General features: G+C 39.4%; 1 protein-coding gene across 5 annotated transcripts in view, besides 1 other annotated feature; it reads left to right on the forward strand.

The window, feature by feature from the left end:
* Positions 828–999: a silencer, noted in NCBI's record as "fragment chr20:12980521-12980692 (GRCh37/hg19 assembly coordinates)". NCBI's record gives its function as "represses an EF-1alpha promoter that drives an FKBP-Casp9 reporter gene in an ReSE screen in HepG2 liver carcinoma cells {active_cell/tissue: HepG2}" and the evidence as "EXISTENCE:reporter gene assay evidence [ECO:0000049][PMID:32094911]".
* The window catches only part of SPTLC3 (serine palmitoyltransferase long chain base subunit 3), a 160,132-nt gene continuing 148,448 nt past the window's right edge, over positions 9,927–21,610 (forward strand). For 3 of the 5 annotated variants that reach the window (NM_018327.4, XM_011529279.2, XM_047440256.1), the window contains exon 1: positions 9,927–10,339. In NM_018327.4, the coding sequence (NP_060797.2) occupies positions 10,223–10,339 (117 nt within the window). In that variant the 5' untranslated portion in view covers positions 9,927–10,222. The remainder of the gene's footprint in view (positions 10,340–21,610) is intronic. The other 2 variants (NM_001349945.2, XM_047440255.1) reach the window with 1 other exon arrangement.

The following is a 21,610-nucleotide window of genomic DNA, read 5'->3' on the forward strand; positions in this document are numbered from 1 at the left end:
ATGTGAGAAACAGAAAAATATAGATAGATGTAGATATATTTATAAAGAGAGACAGGAATGCAGAAATGAACTTTCTAATAGATGCAAAACTAAATATTGTTCTCTGGGAAATTATTCTAATGATATTTAGGGTTATCTCATCCAACTGGCATAAATCAAATTGTATCTCTACTGGTGAAAAATCATTTGCATTGCTTTCCACATGAATAATTAACTTTGCTATCAGTTTTCTACACATTAACTTCTATCCCTACAGAATTGTAAAACAGTCAACAGAAAGTCAATAAAGAGGTGCAGATTCCTGTAGTATCTGATGATCCTCTGAAAGTTCACTATACTATGTTTTGCCCTCTACTAAAAGGGCACTTGGTAACTTATCTTGCCCATTTCCAAGGCCGGAGCATTTTTTTTTCTTACAAAATTACCTACTGTGTAACGCATATGTGTACATGTAGCTGAATGGAGACAATTTGAAATGCAAAGCTCACACACATCCATTTCAAGTGCTGTAATGGGACAATACATTTCCTTGCTTTTTTGTGTGTATGCGTTTTGTAAGGAAGGATGGATATGTAGGTAGGTGAATAATTGTTGTAGAATATTATTCTTTTCTTTCTTTCTTTTTTTTTTTTTTTGAGACAGAGTCTCGCTCTGTCACCCAGGCTGGAGTGCAGTGGTGCAATCTCACCTCACTGCGAGCTCCGCCTCTCGGGTTCACACCACTCTCCTGCCTCAGCCTCCCCAGTAGCTGGGACTACAGGCGCCCGCCACCACGCCGGGGTAATTTTTTGTATTTTTAGTAGAGATGGGGTTTCACCATGTTAGCCAGGATGGTCCGATCTCCTGACCTCGTGATCCACCCACCTCAGCCTCCCAAAGTGCTGGGATTACAGGCGTGAGCCACCACGCCCGACCAGAATATTATTCTACTATACCAACTGATGATCAGTCTCTCCTTCACTCCTCATCCTAGCTGTTGAGCTGCTTTATTCTCATTGTACCAGGAGGGGACGGTTGCAGAGTAAAATGCAGATGCATTTAAAAAAAAAAAAAAAAAAAAAAAGCTCTTTTGGAGTTTTGAAGTCTTTGGGGTAACACAGAGACACCCATGAGTGACAGCAGCAGGTTTCTGGAGAAAGGGATGTTCTTGAGGGACCAAAAGAGAGATGCTTCCAGATTGAGAGGAGAGTAGTCGGTAAAGAAGTAATGAGCGGAGGCACAGGTGGGTGGCAGGGAGGGGCTTGCTCTGCTTCCCACGCAGTTCCCCTGAAAGGAGGAAGGTCCCTGGAGAGAGAAAACTGCTGCAGAGGGAGTCTAGGTGGATGGAGCCATAGACGGACTTGCAGGGATCCCTGATCCCTGGTTCCTAGCCTGACAGGGAAGGAACAGAGCTGAATTATTCCCTTGCCTTCCCACATGATGCAGGGAAAGCAGAGAGAAAGCCACTAGAGCTTCAGGGTGCAGGAGGAAGAGGAAATGTGAGATGATGCTTAGGAGCATATGTCAGTGACCAAAGACATTGTCGTGCTTCAAACCTGCTCTTCCCAGAGCAACCTGATTTCATAAATGCTCCTTAGGACTGGGCCAATGGACTGAAATTATCTCAACCACCTGGTGGAAAGTGAAAAGCAGGGGGGGTCCTCAATATTAAAATTAAGTTCTAAGAAAAAGTTATATTTTTTCAACAGCTATGTTGTGAGCTGATTTATAGATGCTATCTCTATGATTGCTGTGCTTGGAGAGATTCAGCCCCCCAGAAGGCCCAGTGCTTTGCCACCTCTTAGGATCCACACTACTGTACCTCTTTTACTGTCAATATCAGAAGGGCTCAGCCACAAGCCCTTGGAAGCTTAGAAAATTTGTCCTTCCTAAGACCCCAGAATTGTCTCAGGATTTAACTCTTGAGGCAGGCCACCCTGGAACGGGTTCACTCTGCATGTGTCTATAACCAGGTGGACTTTTATAACCAGATCATGTCCAACAGGGGTATAAAAAGATCCAATCGCATTTAGGAGTCCAGATAAATTTCCTAGTAAATCAGGAGACAGGCTACATAAATGTCTCCCACAGAGTCTATGCATTTAAGATGTCTAGAAATAGATGTTAAGCGACAGGACTAAAAGCACTGGATGAATATTTTTCAAGAGCCTCTAATTCTTACCTACCTTGCTGCCTCACTATGGCTGCTACTATATTCCTATGAATATAAGAAAAGTTACCCTAGGTCAAGGTATAAACCATCTGTGGCTAAGACAGCTGATGGTCATCAAAATCCACATTCTCCTCTTCCTTCTGGACACAGGGTAGACTACATTTCCCAGCCTTCCTTGAAGTAAGTGTAGTCACATAACCGAGTTACAGCCAGTGGGACTGGGGGAAAGCAGTGTGTGCTGCTTCCAGGCCCAGCCTATAACCCTCCCATAGGCACTGCTCCATGCTCTTTGTCCTTTGCCAAGAAAAGAGTGGTGATCACAGTAGCTTTGGTTGCCATGATCTGAGGACAGCAGCACTTTAGGTCACATCGGTGACCAAAGACATCAGACTTTGAGTGATATGGTCCCTGCCAACGTCCAGGCCTCTTTCTGGTTTCTTGGGTATAAGTGTGAAGACTGTGAGAGAGATTGAGGGCCACAGTCCTGGCTGTTGACCCTTCTTACGGGAGACTTTCTATCAGCCAAACTTGTAGTATGTGGTCATTGAAACTTTCTTCTTAGGTCCAAGAATGTCATTATATTGTCAGTAACAATATTCCTGGACAAAGAGGAAGAGAGATGCTAAAGTTTTGTATCATATGATTTCTGAAGTTCTCTCCTATAATCCTTATGTTAGCCCTCAGAGGTCGTGATCCTCTTTTATAATAGAAATAAACAAGATTCAGATGAATGTGCCTGATCTTAGCAGAGCCAATTATCCATGACACCCAGCCTCCATGAGTGACTGACATATTACTGAAATGAAATTTGAGGGTGTTTCATTTGATGGAGAACATCCAGGTCACCATCTTTTTATAGGCCAGCTGTTTTTTCCATCTTCCTTACTTGCAGAGAAATTAAAACTGCATGATACATTTCCTGTAGTGAAGCTAAGCCTGAAGCCTCAGGACCTGTGTGCACAGGGGCATGGAAGAGAATGTGTTTTAGCCATGCCATAAATACCTTATCATACATGACTTTTACAGAAATGTGACAAGAGCAACAAAAAGAAAGAAAGAGGCAACTTTGAAATCTCAATGCTCTTGGATTCATTCTTATCACATACTTGTGTCCTGGCACCCCCAGAAAGACCTTGGGGCAGAACAGGCAGACTCTCTGAGGCTGGGTCACTATGCAACGTTTCTAACACTCAAAAGCCACCGCTTCGCCTTTTTCCTTTTCCACACCATTGCCCCTCAGGTCAGTAGGTAAATGCCCTCTGCGGTAGGTAATATACTAACAACATAAACCAGCAGTCCACAGACCCTGACTACTCACCCATGCCTGTCACTGGAAGAAGGGGGTGGGAGCACAAGGTAAATACAATTTTCCCTCTTTAGCCACAAAGGATTTAATTCCCCCAAGCCCTCTTGATAGGAAAATTCACAATTATACGACTTGGAACACTAAGGTTCAAACAAGTTTAGATTTGACAAAATTCACTGAATTGTACCTTAGGATTTGTGCATTTCCTCATATGTAAATTCTACCTTAAAAACAACAATAAAAAAAAAAACACCTGACTACACTCTCACCAGGCTGGTTACAATTTTAAAAAGACTGACTATACCAAGTGTCAGTGAGGATGTGGATCAACTGGGATGTTCATTAGTGGTTGGTGCATAAACTTGTGCAAACACTTGGAAAGCCATGGATCCATGTATTAGTCCGTTCTCACACTGCTACAAAGATATTGCCTGAGACTGGGTAATTTATAAACAAAAGAGGGTTATTGAATCACAGCTCCACATGGCAAGAGAGGCTTCAGAGAACTTTCAATCATGGCAGAAGGTGAAGGGGAAGCAAGACGCATCTTACATGGTGGCAGGAAAGAGAGAGAGAGCAGGGGATACTGCCACTTTTAAAACCATCAGATCTCATGAGAACTCCCTCACTATCTGGAGAACAGCATAGGGAAACTGCCCCCATGATCCAATCTCCTCCCACCAAGTCCCTCTCTCGACACATGGGGACTACAATTTGAGACAAGATTTGGGTGGGGTCACAGAGCCAAACCATATCAATCAGTATCTTCCAAAGTTGAACAGATACACACGTTATGTTCCAATGATTCCACTTCTAGGTATGTACCCAACAGAAATGTACGTATATGGCTACCAAAGGCTATACTAGAACATTCACAGTAGCAATTGCTTTAATAGCTAAAAACTAGAAACAACCCAAATGTCCACAATAGAATGATTAAATAAATTACAGTATGCTCCTAAAATGGAATACTATGTAACACTGAGAATGAACAAGTTATTGCTAAGCACTACAAAGTGGAAAACTCTCTCAAACGTAATAATTGAGTGCAAGAAGCCAGACACAAAAGAATATGAACTGAATGACTCTTTTATATAAAATAATGAGGCAGAACTGATCCATGGTGATAGAACTTAAAATAGTGGTTTCTTTGTGTGATTAAGGAGTGAAGAGTAGGGCAGGGCCTGAAGAGGGCTTCTGGATACGAGAAATGTCCTATTTCTTCAGCTGGGTACAGTTCCCATGTGTGCTCACTTTATGAAAATTCACTGAGCTGTGCAATTAGTCTGTGTATCCTTGTCTATGTAAATTAGCCTGCAATTTTTAAAACTGCTAAAAAAAGATTTCAGATGCTCAACTTGAAAATTAACCTATGAGAGTCTTTAAAAATATACATTTTCTACATTTCTTGGAAGAAAACAATTAGAAGAAAACTCTTAGAGCAGTAAACTAAATAATGAGATCCTCTGACTAGCTGCAAAATTTTAATTAGTAGTAATAAGTACTGCAGTAGGCAGAGTAATGATCCTCCAAAGATGTCCACACCCTATCCCTGCATCCTGTGAACATGTTACCTTACATAGCAAAAGAGACTTTGCAAGATATTGGTCAAATAATGAAAAATTTCTGTTAGAGGGGAGGAACAACTTCAAGACATCTATTATACAACATGATGAGTATAATTCATAACAATATATTGTATACTTGAAAATTGCTAAAAGGGTGAATTTTAAGTGTTTTCACCACACAAAAAATAATTATGGAGAGGTAATGCATATGTTAATTAGTGTGATTTGGCCATTCCACAATGTATACACGTATCAAAACCCATCATGCTGCACAACATTAATGTATACAATTTTTATTTGTCAACTTAAATTAATTACTTTTAAAAGGGACTTTATAGATGTAATTGAAGTTATTCCAAGATTATCCTGGATTTCAGGATGGTCACAATCTATCATATGATTTCTTAAAATCAGAGAACATTTCCTGGCCGTAGTCCCATATATATACAGAGATGTATGATGGAAGAAAGGTCACAGGCATTCAGCATTGCTGACTTTGAAGATGGGGGAAGGGGGCATTAATAAAGGAATGTGGACACCTCTAGTATCTGGAAAAGCCAAGGAAAGAGGTTCTCCCCTACAGCCTCCAAAGAGAAATCAGCACTGCTGACACCTTGATTTTAGCCTAGTGAGACCCACGTCAGACTCCTGATCTGCAGAACTCTAATATGATACATTTGTGTTGTTTCAGCCACTAAGTCTGTGATAATTTCTTACAGTAGCAATAGAAAATGAATAAGAATGCTAAGCATTTAATTTCCGTTTATCATCCCATGCTAGCTAGAAACATAAAAGTGTTCTTTGCATCAAAGCATTAACTAAAGAATAAGCTAGTTTTAATTTTTCTGCAGATAAAGCACATTCTAAAAGACTTTCTAGAGCCTGTTTCTCATTCAAAATATGTGGTGTTTTTATGATATTATAACTCAAAGTTAATGACTTTTCTTCCCCAACTAAATTGTAGACACCCTCTTCTTATATAAATTCCACAAATCTTCCCTATGGGAGACACAAGAGTACACATTTTCTGTCTGTCTCTAGAATTTATGAGGTTTTACCCAAATGAATGTATTAAGTTTTTCTACATGATATCTCTCTCAATCTTCAGAACAGTCTAATATTGATCATTCAAAAGATCCAATTTGATCTCTGATCAATAAGATCTGATGGGCTAATATGGACTTGGTTGCCCTAATTTGGGTTCCCACAAACAGACTCTGAGACAAGGATTTAGGTGCAAGTAGTTTATTGGGGGGTATTTTCAGGAAGCATGGATAAGTAAAACCAGGAAGGGAGGAAAACTTAATAATGGGTGTTTTTATAAGAGGGTTACTACTGAGGGCAACAGAGCCACAGTCCCATTGGGATCTCTCCAGAGGCTGTGAACATGCCTCAGAATTGTCCCATAAAGAAGAAAATAACATGGGGTGTTTATGCACCAACTTCTGTCCCTTGTTGGCTGAGAGTTGCTCTCAAGGATGTGAATTTCCCAGCACACCTGGCCCACACTGCAGAAGCAGAGAATACCCCATGGTCAGAGAACCTGCTTGGGCATAGAAACACAGAAAACAGCTGACACCGTGTATCAGGGACCTCCAAGCTAAGTCAAAAGGATATGAATGAGGGACTGACTGTGTCAGTATGATCTATTTCAGGGCAAAGATATGTGATGTTAAATATGTGCTATGCATGGATTTTCCAATCACAACAGTGTGCAAAACCCAAAAGTGTGAAAACTAAAATTAACTTGATCTTGATTAAGAGTTATAATTTCCACCTGATATCAGATAAATTGACATGATCACTTTCTGGGTTTTCTCAGATAATTTTCATGACTTATTGGTCAGTTCAAATTTAATATTAACTCACATGCGGCTGGCCTTCTTAGGTCATCACGTTTACAACCTATTCATGGGGAAATCTATGGAAATGAATGGTCTCTACGATGAGAATTTTTCCAGATTGAACTCTTCGGGAAATTTAAGTACTTCCACGTAGACTTATTAGTAGATATTGACATGTCATTAGTCATTTGTAAAAAAATTTAATATATTGCAAATTTTTAAACATCAAAAAGCAAATAAAGCATTTTTATTCATTATTTGGCCAATCCAATGAAATCTCCCAAATAATAACAGATTCTGTTATTTCTTTTCTTGGTGGTTGATGGTTCTCAAGTCAACAGCTGAAGGAGAGGTGTCATGGTGTAAGGAAAACGGCACTCACTTAGACCCAGACATTCTTGAGTTCATGACCCACTTCTACCACATATTATTCTGTGGCTTTGGAAAAGTCACTTAACCTGTTGAAAATTTAGTTTTGCATGAGCATCACTCTCCATTACATGGGTAAAACTTGAGTCACTGAGAATGAACAGATTTCTGTACACTGTACAATTCTGACAGTTCATTCTGCTCATATCCTCCCATTTTTGCCAACTCTCTATCCCCAAGTTGTTCCAAGAGCGTTTTCACAACACATTGCCAAGCCTCTGTCCTTCCCTTTCTTGCCTATCCTCATTCTGTTATCTCCCTTTTTGGCTGCTTCATTAAGAGAGGAGCTGAGAATCTGGCATCTGGGCAAAACCATTACTTTGGAGAACACCACAAGGCCATTGCTAATTTTATCATCTTTGCCTTTAATGTACTAGTGGGAAGATTTATTTCTACCTTTAATAGTAAGATATCCTAAGTAGAAGGCATGTGGGTACTGCTGAGTCTTAGTTCTGTGAAGGTGGAGACTGTGTATGTTTTATTCCTTGTGAGAACCAAGGACTCAGCAAATACAGAGTACTTATTCAAACATTTTCTGAGGTTACTAGTTGATCCAAAATGTATTTAGTTGTTCAGAGATGCCAAATCTTGCTCAATATTTAGTCTGTGTTTTAGTATTGCTCCAAACCTTAAACCTAAACCTACCACTGACTTCAACAGAACTCTTCGCTTATTTTAACTGGAGATGGTATGAAGCAATGAGTCACCACTGACTATACATACCAGCAGTGCCTGATGCCAAATGGTTGGTGTGTTAATATAATTTTGTACACACAACAATGCACACATTCCAATACGGTAAGTAAAATAGAAAAGTTTCAAGAGTGAGAGCACGTAGTAGATATTTCTCAGAAATCTATGTGTGATTACCTAACCTTAGCAATTGCAATTAGGGGAAGGAAACGGAGAAAGCAGAATTCAGCTGTGTTTTAAGATTTATTTTATATATACCTTTTGTCCCTTGTAAAAAGAAAATTTGAAAAAGAAGAAGAAAAAGAAGAGGAGGGTGGGGGAGGAAAGGGAAAAGGACAAATGTGAAAAGAGGAAAGAGATGGAGAAGAAGAAAAGAAGAAAGAAAAGAGACATCTAATGTTAAAAAAGTTTTATTTCAAAATCTTTATTAAAAAAATGCTTTGCACTGAGCAATAGAGCTCAGGGAAAATAACGCCCTCTCTTCAACTTGTCTTTCTAAGTAACGTGAGGCAGTTGGGCCAACAATAGTGCTCCCCTCTACCTCTTCATCTCTCCATTTCCTAAATCTTAGAAGAAAATAAACCTACAAGAGTTTAGCCCCCAAATCTCAGTGAAACAGCCATGGAAGGGAGAGACCAGTGAAAATCTACTTCTACTTTGATGATAAAGGTTGAGAGAAATGCGATAAAATTTTTGAACTTGAGACACAAACTGGGCTGAACACACTTGGTATTAACTCCGTCTTTCACCTTGGCCTCAGGCCTTATCTTATTCCTCCAGCATTCCTTGGGATGGTAAAGGCAGGTACCCTCATATGCAAGTCATAGTTAGGAGAAGCGTTAGCATGTCCACCTCCAAAAGCTACATTAATCTGGAGTAGAACTGAACCCTGTCCAAGGGAGCTGAGTTACAGGACATGAGGCTCTGGAAACAGGGGCCATTTCTTTCTTTTTGTTTGTGTGTGTGTGTTTGATTGTTTGTTTTTGTCTACTGCCCCAATAAATTGGTTTCTTTTCTTAGAGTCTGATGCTAAAGAAGTCTCGACTCAGGAAAACCACAAGGGTGGACTTGGGAAGACTCAACAGGTTGTAATGACTCTCCAGCAAATCATGTCACCATGCCATTTGATGATGGTAGGAAGAAACAAAGCCTTGAAGATTCATGCATTGAGAGAATAAGAGTTAGTGAGTAAACCAGATGTGTTTCAGGACTGGGACCCTGCAGTCATCAACCACCTCACACCTGCGTCAGTAACAAACCCAAGCTACAGCATGATTTTTGTTCTACCTCAGCAGATATTTTATAGATGGAAAAACTGAGGCATAAAGTGGGTAAATACCTCCCCCAAGGTCACGAGATAAAGATAACGCAGTCATCAAATATTCTGTCTCCTCAACATCTGTCTTACTGGAATTCTTGATGGATTGGTACCCCCTTATTATAGTACTGATTTTAACATAGGTTGGTTTTGAATACTGGGTTTTTAAAAATCTTTTCAAATCATTTGTAAATTATGGAAATGTATACATCACATGAAACTTACCATTTTAATCATTTTTAAGTGCACAGTTTAGTTTAAGTACATTCACATTGTTGTGCACTGATCCATCACTATACCTTTTTCATCTGCTCCAGCTCAAACTCTGTACCCATTAAACAATAACTTCCCTTTGCCTCATCCCTCCAGGCCCTGGCAACCACCTCTGAATGCTATTTTATAGCAAAAAGAAATATTAACTTTTGAGCTTGGTTTACAACCAAAAACCACAATTACATGCAGGAGAGAGGGGGTGGGAAAAAGAGGTTAACTCAGAACTCAGTTACTTAGAAGACTCTGTGAGTGTGCTGTGTGTGTGTGTCTTTAAAAGACTCTCCACCTCCCAGCCCGCCTCCTCACACTTTGCCACTGGGTTGTTCAGTCCCCAGGTTCCCTCAGTCCCCAGAAGGAGCCAGCATGGACAATCTCCTTTACAGTTTCGGAAGCAGGTTTGTTGCCATGGAGTTCACATTTTGACGGGAGTTGAGAAGTATAAAGGTAACCATTTGTTTTAGTTTCAACGATCTGACAAAAAGATAGGCTGTTGCTCTTCTTCTGGAAAAGCCTGATTGGTAAGATTCCTTTAAGGGCTCAGCCCCAAAGAGCTTTATCCCATCCCCTCGCAGACTGAAAACTAAAGCCTGCAGAGACCTCTGAAGGAAAACCTGTCCCGGGCTCTGTCACTTCACACCCATGGCTAACCCTGGAGGTGGTGCTGTTTGCAACGGGAAACTTCACAATCACAAGAAACAGAGCAATGGCTCACAAAGCAGAAACTGCACAAAGAATGGAATAGTGAAGGAAGCCCAGGTAAGAGGCACTCTCCCCTACTCTTCTCTGAATTACCTGAACGTTTCAATATTTCTCTGTGAAGATATTTGAGGCTGTCCTAACTTAGAGTTCATCTTATGAAGGGTTTTTACATGTTTTGACTGTTGACTCTGTTAATAGAAAGTGCTTGGCTACCAAAAAGTTTAGGTGTGGATTAAGGAGAAAATGTCTTCTGTATGCAAAAGAGGATACACACAGACTCACACAGCTTCAGGCTCCCTAAAATACAAATGTACCTACTAGACTTTTGTCTCAAGCATTTTGCGGGGAGGGAAGAATTAAGAAAGTTCCAACTCTTTGCATATATTTTTGTCCAAGAGACCTGCTACAACCGTCATGCTTCAGAAGAAAAAGAGGAAGTGAAAGTACATTTTGCTGACATTATGTGGTGGAGATGGCATTCTTCCCAGGTCCATGAGAAATGCATCACTGTTTGAAAGGCGAGTTATTATTGGTGTGTAGTGGAGCATTGTTTTAGCTCACTACTTGATTTGAGGCCACAGTATTTCTTTGAAATGTGACGTCACAGACATTCTTTTCCAAAACACTTCAGAAAGCAGGGCTGATTGTGACACACTGCTCTCAGAAAACAGAACAGCATCTTTAAAACAAACTTGTATTTTCCAACTTGACACTTTTTTTTTTTTTCACTCTTATTGCACCGGGATGTTTGCAGAGTGTCCTAGGCAGGAGGAACTCGAGGAAAGTTGTCAGCTTGTTTTAAGAGAGAGCCTGGGTCTGTGAGGTCCTTATGTAAGGCAGTTCCCCACTCCCCACAGGACATCCCGTGTCACTCTGCTCTGAGCAGCAGAAGTGAGCTCATCTGCCTGAGGAGCAAGCCCAAGTAGTCAAACAGGTAGCCTCCTGTTTGGAAAGAGAAGTGGCACAGGGAGCCCCATGCAATCTTCCATCATTTGATCATCCAGAGAGCAAGTATCCACCCACAGGAAAGGCAGATTGTTCTAAGATCACAGGACAGGTGGGTCTGGCTGGGGCCAGTCCTCCTCTCAGTGAATTACATTCGTGTGTGCAATTGGAAGAGGCTAAAGGAGCTCTAGAGCCTGAGTTGTGTGTAAACAGGCTGTGGTCCCCAAAAGCATTCCCCTCTTAACAAAAGGCACTGTCCAACGCTGGGAGGTGTCTATCAGAAACCTCAGAACTGGCCTGTCCCACCTGAGGATCTGAAACCTGGAGCAATGTGAAGAGAAGGTGCTCAACTCCTGTCAGTTGTATGAAGGAAATTGCAGTAATATCCACCACTTATGCATCACTAAATATCAATTCAGGCCACTACTCAAGACGATCCTTGCCTCTGGAATGCCTGTAACTCACAAGCTATTCATCTACTTACCCTTGTGATTATTCTGACCCTGAGGGATCTCATCTGGGAAGAGATTCCTTCTTAACTTTTCTCCCTTTTATTTATTTTATCTTGGTTTTATAATCACATTCGAGGTATGAGATTAGAAACTTAGACAGTTATAACCACTCCTAAGTAAGGATAAAACCCAGGATTCTAAAGGTTCATTATGAAGTGCAGCTGCAAGACTGTAAATATCCTTGGACACTGAGGCTTCCCTAAGAACGGTCGAAAACATCAGGGCTGCTGTTGCCTTCCTGAAGGGCCATCCAGAGCCTCTTGTCTCAGACATATTTAGGTGTCACTAAGCTACAATTGGCTTTCATTGAGAGCCTCAATTATGGCTTAAAAAATATTTTTCAGAAAAACAAACGAACAAAAAAAACCCGGCTGAGATCATAGTGTAATAGGGCAAACGAGGGCTTATTGTCCCCTCCATGATGGGAACGAAGTTGTCTTTACTCTCAAGTTCCTTTGCCACCAGTTTTGATCCTTGGGACCCTTTAACAAACTAGGCCTAGACCAAAAGCCTTGCCTGTGGATAGAAGCAGTCTGCAAAGGCTTACAGAATCCTAGGCTGCTGGTCTCCCAAACACGTTCTGCCTGGCCTAACGTCTTCTGCCGCAGCATCTAAGATCCTACCAGCCCCTCCAATGATCCTCCCACCCTTTCTCTTCCCACTTATTTGCAACCACACAGCAACACAGTTATCTCTTTTATACATTAGGGGACCCTACAAGATTCTGTTGACAAAGGGTTCCCTGGCATAACAAACATATGAAAATTACTATTAGGCGGTGCTCATGAGTCCTCCTTCCCCCTGGTCCAGCGTAGGCTGCCATCCCTGCTCCAGCCTGCAGCAGGCTTGCTGCCCCAGTCTCAAGGCTGGCAAGGACCAGAGCCTTTCCATTCTTAGAAACCTTCTAGAGTTCCTTTCTGGAGCTTTTATGGAGCCTGACTATTTTTCCTGTTTTTTTTTTTTCTTTAAACCTCATATGTCCTGAGAATGCACAAAAACTGGTTTTCATCACTGACTAAGTCCATTTATTTGTTTATTCCCAACATGGCCTCCTACCTTTTACTTGTAACAGGACACTATCATACTAGAGGATTTGTTCTCCCTCTTCATGAGCATATCCACACTACAGACAGATGGGTGCTTAAAGTCTTAATCTATAAACTTGATATTTCTTATAATTTTTATTGAATTAAAATTCTTCCTAATGAATAGGAATTTCCTATTCCTTACTTAATTCTATATAATTACTTTGCAACTATTATCCACATAATTGCTTTTTAATTCCCAGCAATTATTTTTGACCTGACCATAAACTTTTATTTGGAAAACCAAAACCTAGGAAGGTAGACCTTGTGTCTCCATTGCATTTTCCCAGAAGTAGTTTCTTAAGAGGATAGAGTCTGCATTTTCTTCTCTTAAACGAAACCTGCAGGATGAAAAAAAAATTGTAAAGTTTTCCTAATCATCCCTTTCCTGGAAAACAAAAATGTTTGGGGATTAGAGTTACTCTAATTCAAGGTTTATTGAGTTCTTGACCTGAATGTTGTAATATTACCAGGTATAGGTTATGAGCCCTAACAGGTGGTTGCTTTTTTTTCACCAATACTTATTAAGCATCTGTTATTCTTAGGACCTATAAAGATAAATAAGAAGTTTACAATTTATCTGTTAGGAGAAAGCTTATATCAACATTAAAATAATCACATCAAAGTTAAATGCTAGTGCAAGGACAAGAGCTGCCATAAAGCAGACATAACTTGAGTACAAATGAGTGGTATAGATACTAGTACTAGAAGTTGGAGAAGAGCAAAAATAATAATAAATATCAATATTCTGCTATGTATCAGGAAGGGCTAAGCACTTCAGGCAGGCATCTCCTGTACCTTCAAAACAGCCCCATGAAGTGGTAGTATACTGTCCATTATACAGATGGGGAAAGATAAATCACTAAGGAACTTCTGAAGAATCACAATCAGCATGGCCAGGATTTGAGCCCAAATCCAAGTTGCTCCAAAGCCAGTTCCTTTTTCAGTATGTTCTAGGAAATCACAAGTTGGGGTGGTCAGTGACAGCTTCTCAGAGCAGAGAAGACTCAAATTGAACCTTGAGACATTATAATTGCAGAAAAAATAGGGAGCTTATTCCTGAGGGGCAAATGAGGAAAAGACAGGAAAGGAACTCCAGAGATGAATGTAGGAGTTGCTAGTAAAGGGCATAAGAAAGGTCATGAAGCATTCCAGGAAGCTGTGAGGCACAATAGGTCATGTGACTTTTGAGAGACTTTTCTCAATTCAGTGAGCCTTCATCGCAGACAGTGAGAAGCAGTGCTGTGGCTGAGGTGGTGCTCAGCAGATGCTGGAAGAAGAGAAAGGATTAAGCCACATTATTATGGAAATCATTTCCAGTTTTAGAACCATTTAAGCTGAACTTCTATTCTCCCCACCTTTCTATATCCTCTTGAAGTCTGCAATATCCTGGTAGAGCTACTCTTCTGCTGTAGTATAAACTTCTTCTAGAGAATAAGAGCAATGACTGATTGATAGTTTAATTGCAAACAGTGGTAGCTGCCTGACAGCCGTGGTAAGTACCTGTGTCTGTGGGGCTCACCTAGGCTACCCCCTGATTGAAATAGAGGTCAATATTCTCTCCAATTACTAGGAGAATTCATAAACTAAAAGTTTTGGAAATCCCTTTCAACTGCTCTGAGTCTTCATCTTAGTCTTGTCTTTGGTGTTCATTTTCTAATGCCTTTGTTTCTTGGCTCCTATTTCCTTAAAACAATCCCCAATGTGGCAAGGCTTCTCCATGAACTCCTTAAGGAATCCGCAGTTTTTCATGAGCTCATCATTTATAAAGCATTCTTGTGTGTCAGGTGCTGCAGTCATTAAGATGAAAATATTCTCCCTCCATTTATAAATAGCTCACAGTATAAATGAGAAAGACAAGCAATTATAGTATTTAATGGTAAGTACTATAGCAAATGTTACAGTTATCTATTCCTATGTAACAGCCAGTCCAAAACCCAATGGCTTGAAACAATAACTATTGGATTGTTCATGATTCAGGCAGGGGCTGCTAGGGATTGCCTTTCTCTGCTCCACGTGGTGTTTGCTGCAGATCAACTTGCCTGAGCATCCAAGATCACCCCATTCACATGTCCCAGACCTTGGTACCAGCTGTTGTCCAAAGCACCTTGTGTCTACTTCACCAGGACACCCTCTGCATGTGGTCTCATTATTCTGCAGAGTAGCCCAGGCTTTTTTACAGGATGACTGGCTTCTAAGAGAGTAAAAATAGAAACTACAAGACCTCTTTTATGTCCTAGGGACATTTCTGCTACATTCTGTAGACAAAGCCAGTCATAGTCCAGCTGAGATGCAAGGCGAGGAGAAACAGATGCTGCTTTTTTCATGACAGAGGCTGCAAAGTCACATTGAAAAAGGTTGTAAGGGATTGGAGAGATTATTGTGACCATCTTTGGAAATAGTCCACCACAATAGAAATATATGGACCTTGCATGGGAACACAGAAGAATGTGTATCTGACCTAGGCTGGGAAGACAACTTGCTTCAGAGAGGCATTTGACCCAAGTCTTGAAAGCAGAGTAGCCAGTTGTACAGGCATAGAAAGGCATTCCAGCAGAGGGAAAGGCTGTTAGAAGGATATAAAATATCAGAGCATTATGCCTTTGGCCAATGAAAGATGAGTTCATGGTAGGAGGTTCAGGATGCTTAATGGAAAGAACCAGGTGGGAAAAGATTGTAAAATGCCTTTGTCTTAGTTTACATTCCCCAAGAAACAGACCCAGAGATAAAGATTTGAGTGCAAGAAATTTATTAGGGAGGTGAACCCAGGAAGCACAGAGGAAAAATAGTGAAGTGAGGCACAGAAGGGAAGGAAGCCGATACGCTCATGAGCAAGTTACCATTGTTGGCAACTGGGACTGAGACTTGTCGGGGACATCTGGGAGATGGCGTACAACACATCTCAAAGCTGTCTAAATTTAAAAAAAAAAAAAAAAGATAAATGTCAACCAATTCCGGTCCATAATCAGTTGAGGGATGCTCAGCACTTGTAGACTTTCCACACATGGGCTGAGCACACTCCTATGGCAGAGAAAGCCCTCAAGCTGAGCTACAGGTGCTTGCAGTAAGAAATCACCAGAATGGAAGAAGGTCTGGATGCGCCAAGAGTGTCTTTTATAACCATTTATATGTGCAAGTGATGGAGGTTTGAGAAGGGAATTAGCATGATCAGATACGGTTTCTCCCAAACTGTGTAAGCTTTATTTATGGTGACTCTTAGAGCATGGTTTATGAATTAGCCCTGATCTAATGGGCTAATCATCATACAAGACAGGATTATGCTGTTAAGCAACATAAACAGAGCTTACCCACTGTGTTTGGCAAAGGAGAAAAGGGATATATCAAGGGTAAATATTATTGCCATAATTTGTTCCCTTTGCACTCAAGCAAGATGAAAAACCAGAAACCATGAACAGCTTAGCAAATTTTAACTATATAAAAAAACTAAAACTTAATATGGCAAGAAGCATCATAAAGGGTAATGCATAAAAAGCAATTGGAAAGCATGACTGAAGTAAAAACTCCTTTACAATAGCACCAGAAACATGAAGGACCTGGAAATAGATTTAAATAAAATGAAAATCAATTGGAAGGGAGTATGAAAATGCTACTGAGGGACATGAAAGGAAACTGAAAATAAGTGGAAAGGCATACAACACATGTAGAGGAAGACTCAGGATGAAAAATGCATTAATTCTGCCTAAGTTAACCTATCAGTTTCTGTGTAAGTCCAGTAAATAAATCAACATATTTTTGAGCCAGACAAATGACATTGAAGTTTATGTGTAAAATTAATAAGGAAGAATAATTGGAAAGACTATGATAAATAATAATAATGAGGGTGACTAGCACTACCAACTAGTAAATCATGTTGCTCACCAAAAGAATTAGAATGGTTTTCTATTAGTACATGAACAGATAGATAAATATTATAGGTAATTGTTAATCTATTAAAGTATAAGAAAATATCAATTTTAAAATAATATTTACATGGGAAAAGTCTTTATAACTATGATATAATACCCAGGAGCCATAAAACAGGAGGTCAACAATCTGACTACATAAAAATCAAATATTTATTTCTGCATGGCAAAAACAAAACAAGAATAACACCGTGAAATAACCAAAAGGCAAATTACAGACCAGGAAAATGTTTAAAATTTATATCATAAAATGCAATTTTCTGATTATATAAATAACTTTTAGAAATGAATACAAAAAGAGGCCAAACACCAGAAAGAAAAGAATGGACAAAAGCTATGATGAGGGAAATACAATTTGAAATACAAAAGGTAAGGAAAGGAAGAGAAAGAAGGGAAGAGAAGTCAGAAAAGGGAAGGAAAGGAATATGCTAGAATCAGTTTCCATGAGAAAAGAAAGAAAAGTCCATTTTCTCAGTTTGTGTGCATTAAGTGCAAAGTCAAGTTGAAACTTAGTTTGAATAATCTAGTTATTTTGATCAGTTTAATAATGATAATAGTAAAGCTAATAAATCAATTGTTGATGGGTGCTACATGCCAGGTCCTACTATGTAATTTGCCTCATTGAATTCTTATAGCAGTAATGCAAAGTGGATATTATTAGCCACATTCATACAGATGAGGAAACTGATGCTCTGAAAACATAAATAACTTACCCCAAGGTCACACAACTAGAACAAAACTGGGACATAAACTCTAGGCTATCTACCTTATCCTAACTTCTTACTTCAACAACTGTCGAAGACCCCATGATATTATCTACTTTCTATGATAATAGGCTTAGAGACCTTTATTTAACAACTGAACATAATACCAGTTGTCTAAGGTATCAATAATATACTTTTAAAAAGAAAGGTGCTTATGCTTTCACTGTGACTAAAGATATTGAAAGACATCAAGCTCCAATAGCTAATGCATGTTGGCCTATAGTTAAATCTTTGGGAGGTAATCAAGAACATAATAATTATAATAATCTTTAACATGTCTTGAGATCTTCAAAGTGCCAGGCATTCCCAGTGCTTTATGTTCATCATCTCACAGCATTCCTATGAGGTATTATTTTTGGACCCATTTTATAGGTGAGGAAACAGAAAGCTTTAGTAACTCAACCAAGGTCACCAACTTATAAGTATCAAAACCAGGTATGGAAACCAAGTTTGTTCAATCCTAGAACCTAAGTTCTTATCCTTTAGTCCACGCTTCCCCTGTAAACACAAGATAATGTTAGGCATGGGATTCATACCCACTTCCAGAGAGAAGGGGCCAGCAGACACAGCCTTAAAGGGCAGAGTCAGTGTGAGTTAAAAGAATGGTGAGTTGTTTTGTTTTCCTGATTTTTCATTCTTAATAAAAATTTTAGCTTATCACAAATGACACCAAACTGTCATATATCTGTGCTTTCAATAGGCAATGTTATTCACTCAGAGACATACCACATTAGTGAACCTGTCACCTCCATGCCTCACTTTGAACAACTCTAAGCTAAAGAAAATTGACCTCATGTGACTCTGAGTCATGTGGACTCACACTTAGCCCCAGTCAGAGCTTGAGAGATAGTCTGGCTTTCAGGAGCTTTTTTCAAGAGTACATGGCCTCCCTGAATAGAAACTTCACTTAGTACAATATTTTCTGGCAATACTGATATCTTAGACATGATGCAATAGATCAAGCTTGTCGACATGTGGCCTGCAGGCTGCATTTGGCCCAGGACATCTTTGGATGCAGACCAACATAGATTCATAAACTTTCTTAAAACATTATGAGATCTTTTTTGTGATTTTTTTTAGCTTATCAGCTATCATTAGTGTTAGTGTATTTTATGTGTGGCTCAAGACAATTCTTCTTCCAATGTGGCCCTGGAAAGCCAAAAGATTGGACACTCCTGCAGCAGATGAAAGATAGTTACAAATTCTTTGGAGTATTTCCCATTGAGAGGTAGAATCTAATTCTAATCCACTTGAACCTGGGCTAGACCTAATGACTTACTTGACCAAAAACGTGATGGAAGGGACAATCTGGGACTCCTGAGAGTCAGTTACAAGAAGACTCGCAGCTTGAACCCAGTCCTTGTAGAGTGCCCATTCTTGGAATCCAGCCACCATGCTTTAAGGAAGCCCAAGCAGCCCAAGAAGTTCAAGGAGAGAAACCAAGTATCCTTGCTCTGTTTCTAGCTGAGATGCAGTACCAACTTCTAAACTGTGTGAGTGATGTATCTTGGAAGTGAATCCTCCAGCCCCAGGGTGTGTTTGCTCCAATTGATACTTCATGGATCATAGACCAGCTGTCCCTGTTGGGCTCTGCCCATATTAAAAATTCTTGAGCAAATAAATAATTGCTGTTTTAAGTTTGCTGGTGGCTTATTAAGCAGCAATAAAAACTGAATACATGGATATTATATTTCCTTAAAATGACTAGAAAAGTCATTGTGCAATCTCAGTACCATTTTCAATGCTTTCATTTATATTTACATTTACAGAGTTTGCTTTGACCATGAATTTGCTATTAATCATTGGCAAAGACACATTTTCATAAGTTATAAATTTCTGTTTTGTTTGGCATAAGGACTGTATGCTTAAGCCCTTAACCAGAGATGAGTGTCCGGCTGTAAAAGCCAAACACAATGAACCTAAACCAATGCAAAAGCACACCCATTTGAAAATTGCCAAATCTGAAGTGTAATTATTAACCCTTAGGAGGTCTGTAATTTATTACATTGTCTATGAAGAAATAGTTGACTCAATAAAGTGTGTGTGCTCAGGTGTTTCATTGGCTTAATTAACATATTTTAAGTATTTTTAATATCTGCCAATTACAAATTAATTTTATCTATTGGTTAAAGCTTCCTGGAAAAATTTTCTCTCACTGTTGAGGTAAATTGATATTAACCTAATTAATTGCAAGAAGTCAACTATGCTGATTTTGAAATATATTTAATGTTTTTAGTAAATATGGCTACCTTTGTCTCAGTTGGCCTGTACTAATGTAGTTTTACTGGAATTCTAAGGTATTACAATCTATAAATTTACGACAGAAAGATCTATTGCCACCATATTAGAAATATTTTCCGGTGATTTGGAGTTCAAATTAACTATTTTGGGGGAAAAACACTACAAGCATAGCTCAGAGAAATACTCAAAATTATCCTCCACAATCTACTTCATCTATCTATCACAGTGCCATCTGAATCCTGCTCTCCTGAAGAGTTTTGACATATTGAAGATCATCTGAGCCCAGCGGAGTTTCAGATTGCAAATGCCTAGAGGAGCTAGCAGGGCCTTGTGTAGGACAGTAGGAGATGGTAAGAATGGGTTTAAATGAACAAGGCCTGGTGTTTCCAAGAGACAGAACAGGCTCCATCTTGATAGTTTTTCCAACTTTTAAAAGAAGCTGGAAATCCAAATTGAGGAAAGGAGGTCTCATGATTTCTAAATGTTGGCATCTAATTTTTAAAAATTCAAATCCTGTGGATTTAAAGAAAACATTGCTAACAAACACCAATTTGTAACCTCTAAACTATAGGCAAACAGAGTGTAGGAAATAGGCTAAAAAGTCCTAAGTACAGTGCTATTTTCTCATTTGTTTAGGAAAAATGGCTCAGAGAATTTGGCTCGCCTCGATTTAATTTACTTTATATTTCAAAAAGTGATAGATGAGTCTTCCACCTTCACTTTCCTGAGTTGATATATTAACAATTACCCTAGACTCTGCAGGTTTGAGGAACTCTTATGACCAGCTACATACACTAGATTTCCTTGACTAACCCAAATCTAAAATATTAAGTCCCAAAGTGTTCATCAAAGTGTTAGAGACCTGGTGATATTTATTGACCAAACCACAACTCTCAGATTTCATAGTCAGTGGTGCACAAACCTTCGTTAGATGATGTATTCATGAAGTCTAGTCACCAAGATTGTTCTCTAAATCTGGTCTAACTGGACCTTCAAAAGTTTCCCAAGCAAAAGGCTATGTGCAAGTCTTAATTATTCTCTTACCTATGGGTTATACACAGCTCTTATTTGTCTGTCTTGTGGTTGTGAGTCTTTTGGAGTTCAAGGATTCCTTTGAGAAGCTGTTATATACTTTCTAATGAAAATTAATATGTCCATAACTGCAAAATTTTTTACATAGAGAATGTGTGTATTCCCTGACTTCCTCAGATCCCCAGATTAGAAACTTTGGCTCTGAAATTTTGTATAAAACTAGGCTATTTCTGCACTTACAATCCAACTAGAAAAAAACAGCAAATCAACTGTTCCAGAGAAGACAGGGTAAAGGATTCACAAATTGATCCACCAAAAAAGAGAATATCACACATAACACAAAGTGATTGAGGCAGCAAGCCCCATGTGTGTTAGACATTTATTTAAAAATTGGATTAGAGGGTGGGTGTGGTGGCTCATGCCTATAGTTCTAAAGCTTTTGGAGGACAAGGAAGGAGGGTCAGTTGAGACTAGGAGTTTGAAACCAGTCTGGGAAACATGGCAAGACCCCATTTCTTAAAAAAAAAAAAGAAAAAAAAGAAAATTAATTAGCTGGACGTGGTGGCATGCATCTGTAGCCTTAGCTATCCCAGGAGGTTGAAGTGGGAGGACCACTTGAGCCCAGTAATTCAAGGTTACCGTGAGCTGTGATTGCTCCACTGCACTCCAGCCTAGGCAACAGAGTGAGACCCTTTCTCTATATTTTGTCATTTATATTAGAAGTTTGCATTTTATTACATAATATATTAATATTTATTTTGCTGTAAAACTATTTTTATATACTCTTTTAAAACTTTGAAGAAAACTGAACTCCGCAGAAAGATGT

The sequence above is a fragment of the Homo sapiens genome, chromosome 20 (genome assembly GCF_000001405.40).
Source record: "Homo sapiens chromosome 20, GRCh38.p14 Primary Assembly".
Taxonomy (NCBI): Eukaryota; Metazoa; Chordata; class Mammalia; order Primates; family Hominidae; genus Homo; species Homo sapiens.